The sequence below is a fragment of the Homo sapiens genome, chromosome 7 (genome assembly GCF_000001405.40).
Source record: "Homo sapiens chromosome 7, GRCh38.p14 Primary Assembly".
In the NCBI taxonomy this organism is placed as follows: Eukaryota; Metazoa; Chordata; class Mammalia; order Primates; family Hominidae; genus Homo; species Homo sapiens.
In genome coordinates this window covers 45191123-45201110 of record NC_000007.14, presented here as the reverse complement: position 1 = coordinate 45201110, position 9988 = coordinate 45191123, and positions in this window count along the sequence as shown.

The following is a 9988-nucleotide window of genomic DNA, read 5'->3' as shown; positions in this document are numbered from 1 at the left end:
TGAACTTTGCTAAAGAATAGTCATCATTAACAATGACCTGCCATTGCTTAGTTTGTTTTTCTACAGGTTGCTTCCTGCCCCAGAGTCACACAACGAGGGGTTGCAAGATTTCTAACTTCTCCAGGTACTCCTATAGAGAACATCACTATTGTGAAACCTAAAGAATCACTCTTAAGCCGGGAGCTGTGGCTCATACTTGTAATCCCAGCACTTTGGGAGGCCAAGACAGGTGGAGCACCGGAGGTCAGGAGGTGGAGACCAGCCTGGCCAACACAGTGAAACCCCGCCTCTACTAAAAATACAAAAATTAGTCGGGTGTGGTGGCACAAGCCTGTAATCCCAGCTACTCAGGAGGCTGAGGCAGGAGAATCACTTGAACCCAGGAGGCAGAGGTTGCAGTGGGCCAAGATTGCCCCACTGCACTCCAGCCTGGGCAACAGAGCAAGACACTGTCTCAAAAAAAAAAAAAAATTGCTCTTTGAGATAGTTTTCAGATTTAGCATTTCAGTAGACAAAGAGACACCTCCTGGTCCAGAGACCACCTTCCCTCCTGGGAAATGACTCAGCTGCACAAAGACAGTTTTAGCTGCCCCTGTGATTTCATCCCCAGCCAATCAATTGTCTCAGTTCTCCAGCCCTCTGCCTGCCAAAGTACCCTTAAAAAACCCTAGCCTCTGAATTCTCAGAGAGGCAGGTTTGAGAAGTTTCTCCCGTTCTCCTCGCTTGGCTGGCCCTGAGATTATTAAACTCTTTCTTTGCTGCAACCCCTGCTGTTCTCATTGGTTTTTTCAGGACAGCAGGCAAGAAGGACCCATTGGGCTCTGACACTATCTCACAGGGTTGGGAGAAGGGATCCCAAACAGAAAACTCATGCAGCTTTCTACCCACAAACGTTTACTGAGCACCTACTTTGTGTATTATACTCATTGCTGGAAATACAGAAATTAATCCCTCCAGAAGCTCACCCTCTAGCAGGCTCTGCCTTTGCCTCTTAAGAGTTTAGTGGCCTTGGGCAAATGGCAGCCTCATCATAGAAATGGAGGTAAGAGTAGAAACCTACCTTCTAAAGTTCTGTGAGGATTTAGGGAGTGAAAGTTTGCACAGCATGCCAGGAGCTCACCGCGGGCTGCTATGACCATCAGTGGGAATGACAGATGTTATCAACAGGTCCTTACAAGGGCTGACAGAATGTGTTGAGATGGAGCTGAGAGCCCTGAGAAGAAGGAGGGGTCTCCATGGAGGGCACAGGGGACACTTTGAGGGGGACTCTTTGAGGAGTTAAAACAAGAGAGGGGAATAGATACCATGTGTGGAGACCAGGCATGAGAGAGCACCCAAGTGTATGAGGTGAGAAGGGTCGTAAGGCTGGAGTTGGCCAGGGCGGTGTGGAGAGGAAGACTGGGCAGGTCATGGAGGACTCTGGACCATGCTCAGGCTATGGACTTCTCTTTGGAGGCCACTGAGGAGCCGGAGGGAACCTCTACACAGGGTTGTGACATTCTGAGACTTGAGTTTTAGGAAGCCAGCATCAGTTGCAGGTGAAAGATACGTACAAGATGCAGATCTCAGAGCAGGAGATGAGTTAGGAAGTGGAATCTGAGTTACACTCAGGTGGGACACTCTCTGAAAACCTCCCAGAACGTTTTCATTTGTGGTATGCGGGGAGTGGGCAGGAAGTCCCTAAAAAGACAACCGGATTTTTTCTACCTGTGAAGACTCAACTTGTGGGTGGGTGGGTGGGTGGGTTTGTAGAATGCTCATTGACATCACTGGGGCCCAGGTCAGCTGGTGAAGACACTTGATCAGCCCACAGAGACAGGTGCCTGAACCAGGGCCAGTGGGTTTATTCACAGTGACAAATGGGGCTGCCAAATGGCCGTCATGCCAGACCTCAGGCCAGTGCAGCCCATCCTAAGGGAAAGTCTAGGTGCAAGCCAACGCTTCCCAACTCAAGCTGATTGGAGAATGCAAAGCCAAGTCCAGGGAATGGGGGGGGGCCATGGCCACAGCCAGGGTCCTTGAGTGGCTGCCCAATCCTGGAGAGCTCCACCATGGGGATGGGCCTGCAAGTAATCAGCCATCCACTAGTTCCTACAGGCTGTCTCACCCCGAGGCCTCCTACCCTAAAACCCAATGAAGACGACTCCCTTTTCTGTTAACCATAAGGGCATTCCTTTCTGTTTCTACTTTGCTGAGAGTTTATCATAAATGAATGTTGAGTTTAGTTGCCACATCTGTCTGATATTTATCTGAAATTCTCTGAATGTGGTGACTGACACTGATTGACTTTTAAGATAAAACCAACTTTTCATTCCTGGGATCAAACCCACTTGGTTAAGGTGTATTATCCTTCCTATATATTACTAGATGCAATTTGTTAATATTTTGTTAAAGACTTTCACATCTATGTTCATGAAAAATATTGGTCTATAATTTTCTTTTCTTATAATTTCCTTGTCAGGTTTTGGTATCAAAGTTATGCTGGACCCATAAAGTGAATTTAAAAAAAATTCCTCGGCAGGCCACAGTGGTTCATGCCTGTAATCCCAGCACTTTGGGATGACAAAGCATCCAAAATAATAATAATAATAATAATAATAATAATAATAATAATAATAAGATACAAAAACATTCTTTCCTCTTCTGCTGTATTAGTTAAATAATGGTGTTATTTCTTTCTTAAATGTTTGACAGAATTTACCAGTGAAACCATCTGGCTCTGGAGTTTTCTTTCTAGGAAAACTTTTTATTAATTCGATTTCTTTAATACCGGCACCATTCAGATCTACTATTACTTCTTCTTTTTTTTTGAGACAGAGTCTCACTCTGTCTCCCAGGATGGAGTACAGTGGCGCAATCTCAGTTCACAGCAACCTCCACCTCCCAGATTCAAGAGATTCTCCTGCTTCAGCCTCCCAAGTAGCCGGGACTACAGGTGTACCACCATGACCAGCTAATTTTTGTATTTTTAATAGAGATGGGGTTTCACCATGCTAGCCAGGCTGGTAGGCTGGTCTCAAACTCCTGACCTCAGGTGATCTGCTTGCCTCGGTCTCCCAAAGTGCTGGGACTACAGATCTTTAGATAGAGGGTGTTGAGTGATTATCAAAATCAATATCTTTATCCTTACTAGAGACATAGCAATAAGTAAACAAGGGCTCTTTCTTATATGTCTCTAAAAAGAAGCAAATGTCTTCATACCAAAACACAAATCAGCCCCAGAGATGCTATTAATAATACCAGACAGTCTTGCTGGTCTGGCGTAATGAAGGTAGATCTTTGGATATCAAGAGGCATAGATGTTGCCTTCTAGCAATTCTTTATAAATATTGCATCTCTCAGCTACAAGTGGATAGATCTGGAGCTACAGTCAGTTCAAGATTGCTGGTCAGTCAGGGAGCCATATCCCAGACAGTTGGTCAAGCTTATGTCTTGCAGCCAGTGCAAGACAGTCACACATGGTGAGGACAGTCCCCCTCCTCATGCCAAGAAACCTGCAGACAGGGGAAGTGAGGTCTTAAACATGAGCTGCCTGATTCTCTTTGCTGGGCACCCTGAAAACAAATACCGTCCTTTCTCCCACTGCAAACCTTGATGTGAAAGTTTGGCCTCACTGCACTGGGTGAACAGACCCAGTTCAGTTCAATAACACCTCCAGAACTGGACTCATCATTCTGATCTCATGGAACACTCTCATCATTGGTGGTACTGGCTTCAGTTTATTTAGTGGTTTTGTTCTGTAGTTACTTGCTTTTAAGAATGTACTAAGCTCCACTCAGACCAAAGCCAAGTCCCTGCCGTGGTCATCCAGCCCCCCACAGCCTTCCCCATTTCTTTTTTTTTTTTTCTTTTTTCTTTTTTCTTTTTTCTTTTTTGAGATGCAGTTTTGCTCTTGTTGCCCAGGCTAGAGTGCAACGGTGCAATCTCAGCTCACTGCAACCTCCACCCTCTGGGCTCACGCGATTCTGCCTCAGCCTCTCGAGTACCTGGGATTACAGGCATGCACCACCACACCCAACTAATTTTGTATTTTTAGTAGGGACAGGGTTTCACCATATTGGTCAGGCTGGTCTCGAACTCCTGACCTCAGGTGGTCCACCTGCGTCAGCCTCCCAAACTGCTGGGATTACAGGCATGAGCCACCGCACCTGGCCTCCATTTTTTTAATATTTTAGGTTGATTGTAGTTTTTTGTTTTGTTGTTGTTGTTGTTGTTGTTTTACAAGCCAGAATGTGTGGTCCCTCCTGCTATTGGTCCTTTTCTTGGAAGCTGTATCCAAGAATTTACAATGTCAAGAGGAACAGGAATGCACCTTAGGACCTCACTGTGCACCCAGTTCACAGGGATGTACATTCTTTTAATGGGTCCAGCTGGACGCAAGCCCAACTCCTCAGAGGAAGGGAACCTGCATGGAAAGCCGCGCCTCAATAACCACGATGACAATAACCGAGATGTCCTCCCAGAATCAGCACAACGTGGGCACCCAGTAAATATCACCCAACACAGTGATTGAAACTGACTCAGTTCCACCCACATGGAAACCCAAGAATGAACAGAAGCCAGCCTGAGAAAGTCCTCTTGTGTCATACAGCCCTGCTCACCCCTCCACCTAGTTCCTACCACAGCACAGTTCAGTTATGAGTGGACATCACTGTTTCCCCTGCCGGAAGTGAGCCACTTGCAAATGGTAGACAGGTGGATAAATGACAATGAAGAGGTAGTGGCTTTTTAGGAAAAGTCCTCTCACACTCTTAGATAATACAGCTGAGGGCAGATACCAGCTGGCATATGATAAACCACTACCTTGACCTTCAAGCCATGATCTGACCTTCAGACCCTGCTTCACCATTTGGAGCTGTTTACCAAGGAGCTTAATTCCAGCAGAACATCTTCACAGACAAAACCCCCAGAAACGCTGCATTCTCCCAACAAGTTCAACATTACCTGATCATCAGAGATAGCAGTAAATCCTGTTGGGTCATCCTTACCCAGGGGCCAAGAAGATGACATCTTTATGATTTAAGAGAACTAACCTTAAACCATCTTTTTGTCCCTTTTGTACTTGAATACTTTTTACAATAAATGGTACCTTAGATCCATGACTACTGCTGAATAGGACTTGCTGGAACATTGTTCCTAAACCAAGCTTTGTCCCAGAAAAAAAATCATTTCTGAAAAGCTGCAACACAATAAAACATTCTTCAACATTGTTATAAAATTCTCAAGACCCTTACAAATGCACAAATGGGTTCCGGAAGCTTCAAAACTAGATGCCCTGACTACTTTTATTATGATTCAAAAAATGGTATGAAAATACCGCATTGGAGGTAGTTTTATTTTTGATTAACCCTAGAACAGTCAATCAACCATGTTACCCTAAACAGCACTCTGGAGTCTGAGGACCCACTATTAAATTTAAAGGTACAGATAAATGTCCAAACTATGGATGCCCAAATGTGGAATCTGAAGCTGTTAACATCATCTCTGTCATGTCCCCCTCTCATCATTTTTATTGTTGCAAAGTTAGAAGTAGGGTGAGTCATCTCCCTCCCATTCAGGGGCCATGTCCTCATCTGCAGCACAGACTCTGCGAAGGCATCCAGCAGGTGCTCTCTAATTCTGCTGGTCCTGGCAGAGGGAAGGCATCTCACCCTCCATAGACTGTCCACCCAGACCAGAAGTCATAGCACCCTGTGAGCTCACTGTGGGTCACCTGCCTTTTCACCAGAGCAGTCAACCCTAAGAGGAGGCTGCCGGTCCATTGCGCACACACTAGTCCAGCGGGCTGCAGCCAAGCATTCCAGGCAAAATGACAGCCAACTGACATCCTGAAGGGAGAAAGGATCTCTCAGAAATTGGGCAGCTCTTCTGCCCCCTCCCTCTAAGCCAAGCCCCCAGATTCACCCACTTCAGCCTCCACTCAAGAACAAGGGCCTCAGCCCCTCCTGTCCTGCTGGCTGCATCTCCTCTTCCCAGCCTCGGGCCTCGGCCCCAAGTGAGCTCTGTGCTCTTTAAAGCCCATGGCTTTAAATGTCCACATCCAGCCCAAACCTTCCCAAGGTCCAGACTCAGCGGTCCAACTGCCCTGCTGGCTTCCCTCACTGCCCTATGTCATCGCATCCTGTGGCTGGAGCACCTTCTGGACTGGAAGACTTCCTGTCTGGTCTTCACCATCTCAGAAAACAGTAAGGCCCAGGAGATAACCTTCATCCCTCCCTCCTCCACCATCAACCCACCCCTCTGCACCCCGCACTGTGACACCAGCACACCTGCTGGGGTCTCCCTTGGACTCCCTGAGATCCCCCCAACCTCCTTGCCCTGCATTGCATCCTGCATTCTCCACAGGGGTCACAGTGGTCTTCTAAGGTGGAAATCACAGAGGCTGAAACTTGCAAATGCTTCTCCCCACACCAGAAAAATCTTGCCCGCCCCACCCCATCATTCGCACACCCCTCACCCATTCCTCCTTCAAAGTCTTAACCCTCGCCCTCCTTTTGGGGACACTAAGTCCAGGGTGAGTATCGTAAGTCTGCAGTAGTTCTCAAACTTAAGAATCACCTGGGGAGCTTGTAAAAAATACCAACTTCTGGGTGGCTCTGCCCCAGACCAGAAAAGTGGGCACCAGCCAGGTGGAAACTGGACACCCGGCTGAGCTTGATACCTGCAGTCATGGAGCCTGGTCCGAGGCCCTGAGGGCCTGAGGGTCTAAGGGTCCTCAGTCTTAGTCCTACTAAAGTCACCTCAGGGGCACCACACCTGAGATTTTGACGTAGTTGGTCTTTGGGGATAGGGCCCCAGACTGGAACTTTTACAAGCTCTGCAGGTGACTCTAATATGCAACGAGGGCTGAGAACCTCACTGCTCTCGACCACTGGTTCCCAAACCCAAGCCTCAGAACCCCCTGGAGCACTGTTAAAATGACAAGTGCTGGGCCTGCCCCAGAGTTTGTGGTCCAGTGGTCCGGGTGGAGCCAAGAATCTGTGTTTCTAACAAGCTCCCCAGCAATGCTGCTGGTCCACAGACCCCCTACTTTGAGAAGTGTTGCCAAGACCTTTCCCGTTCAGGCTGCGGCTCACACTTGAGCTTCTCAGAAAGGCCCGGCCACCTTAGCTGAACATTGGTTTAGTTTCCAATCTGTTGCTACAGCAACAGTGCTGAAGGGAACATCCTCATACATGTTTCTTACACTGGAATATTTCTCTAGGGCTGCTGGTTTAAACAGAATGCCTCTCTTTTTCCATGGAGACTGCCAAAAGATTCACCAAAAAGTAAATTAATTTATAATCAAACCAGGACCATTTCAACACACCCCTACTGTATTAGCCTGTTCTCACACTGCTGTAGAGAAATACCTGAGACTGGGTAATTTACAAAGAAAAGAAGTTTAATGGGCTCATGGTTCTGCAGGCTGTATAGGAAAGCAAAGTGGCTTCTGCTTCTGGGGAAGCCACAGGAAACTTTCAATTATGGCAGAAGGCGAAGGGGAAGCAGGCACATCTTACATGGCTGGAGCGAGAGAACAAAAGAGAGAGGTGGGAGGTGCCACATGTTTTTAAACAACTATCTCCCCATTGACTGGTCAGAGCCCTTGTCGTGGTCATGCTGGGTGCTAGATACTTCACATACTAATCCCCATTGTGTGTGTATAAACATATCTCATGTAGTTTGATATAAGGCTGGTACTTTTCTTATAATTAATTTGTAAATAGTTTGTGGTTTCCATTTTTATTTCTTATTGAATCCAAGATTATATAGAAGGCTTTTTTAAATTTCCAAGTGAAAATGAAACCAGTCCAATTGTCCCATAGAACTGATGTTTTTGTTTTTTTGAATTAAAATAGAAATTGACTGTCCCAGTCTTAAAAATTTGAGAAATGTACATTTGTCTTTCCTGAGTTCCAAACATCAGGCTTCCCAGATAGTATCAAGGACCTGAAACTCACCAGATCACTGCATCTGGACGATGAGACACCAGACCCCTCACCCATCCTGATTGTTGATATGGTTAGGCTTTGTGTCCCCACCCAAATCTCATCTTGAATTGTAATCTTCATAATCCCCATACACACCACGTGTCAAGGGAGAGACCAAGTCGAGGTAATTGAATCATGGGGGTGGTTTCCCCCATACCGTTCTCGTGACAGTGAGTTCTCACGAGATCTGACAGTTTTATAAGGGGATCTTCCCCGTTCGCTCAGCACTTCTCCTTCCTGCCGCCTTGTAAAGAATGTGCCTTGCCTCCTCTTCACCTTCCACCATGATCATTAAGTTTCTTGAGGCCTCCCCAGCCATGTCTCACGTTAAACTGTGAGTCAATTAAACCTCTTTCCTTTATAAATTACCCAGTCTCTGACAGTTCTTTATAGCAGGATGAAAACGGACTAATATAATTGCCTAACTGACCACCTGCTTCCTGTTGACCAACTCCTCTTCCTTAACCCTCGCTAATTCCTCTTTTCCCACACATAGTCACATTTCTTCCCTGCTCTATAAACCCCGAATTTTAGCCAGTTGAGGAGACAGATTGGAGACTGCTCTCTCGTCCTCATCAGCTGCAGCACCCAGGTAAAGCCTTCTTCCTTGGCAATACTCCATTGTCTCAGTAATGGGCTTTCTGTGCAGGCGAGCAGTAGGACCTAGACCAAACCCCTGGTGTTTCAGTAACAAAAAGATTGTTTTCTTTTGCCTATTTGTCCAAGAATGTGGCCAGCATCATTTTAATTTTTTGTCAGTTTCTCATGGATATTCAAAAAGAATGAATATTTTCCTTTGGGGGTGTATTGACAGATAAATGGAGAGACAGATGATAAATATTAGATATATATTATATGAAGCTTATTATTCAAAACTTGTATATACTTACTTTTTCATGTGTGTTTACTTAATTCCTTGATCTTTTAATTCCTGAAAGAGATCTATTGCAAATCTCCCATGGTGATTATGAACTGGTGAATTTCTCCTCCTGTCTCCAACAATCCTGCTCTGAATCCTTTGAAGCTATGATGTTATATGCAGCTGCTTCTCTGCATCCTACAGTCCTACCTATCATCTAAGACCTGGCTTCAATGCCACTTCCTTTGTGGGCTCCTCGAGGGCGTGGAGCTGAGCCTAAACTAATCCTCCATGGACGCCCTCTCTCCACCTACCTCTCCGAGGGACTGGCCTCATTCTGCTCTTTAGGGAGCAGTCTGTGTACAAGTCTCATCTCCAAGGCTCCAAGACAGATAGCCCTTGAGAGAAAAGAGGGTGTCTTTATGAGCCTCTCCCCCTCACAAGGCAAGACACTTGTTTAATTAGTGCTAGGTAACTGAAAGAACATTCATACTTCCCAGATAGCTAATTGATCATACCTAATATCTATTTGTTGCTGATCCCTTAATTGAGAACTCAATCCTCCAACCGTAAAATTAAAAGAACGCCCCTAGAGCAAAGCAAATTCCTATAACAAAGAGGCTTCCATGAATGTAGTGTATTGTGAGCACAGTGCCTGACTTTGCTGGAAAAGCAATGATACGATTGTTTCATCTTGTGATTATTCCACCACCATGAACCAGTGCAGCTGTGGAACAGAGTCCCTTTCACATCCTTCTGAATGAAACTGCTTGGAAACAAAACATATGGAGCATAGATGCTTAAGGCAAAGGAACATCTTTCTCTCCAGTTGGATCCATTCAACATTTACTAATGTTTAATTTTAGGCAAACCCATGGAAGGCATTGGTGGGTAGAGCAGGAGGGTTGAGTGAGGATGAGTGGCTGCAGGCTGAATCCAACACAGTGCCTGGGGGCAAGCGGCTTGAGTGCATGGAAGTTTACACACCTACAGGAAGCTCCTAGCAGTGCCTGGTTCTTTGTGGGGCTCAGCAGATTTTAATAGAAATGTACTGGAATAGGGACATGTTTGATTCACTGAGGAGACCCAAAGGAATGTTCTGGGCCACTTGGGGTCAGCAGCGCCAGAAGCAAGGTATACAATGACATTGGCATGC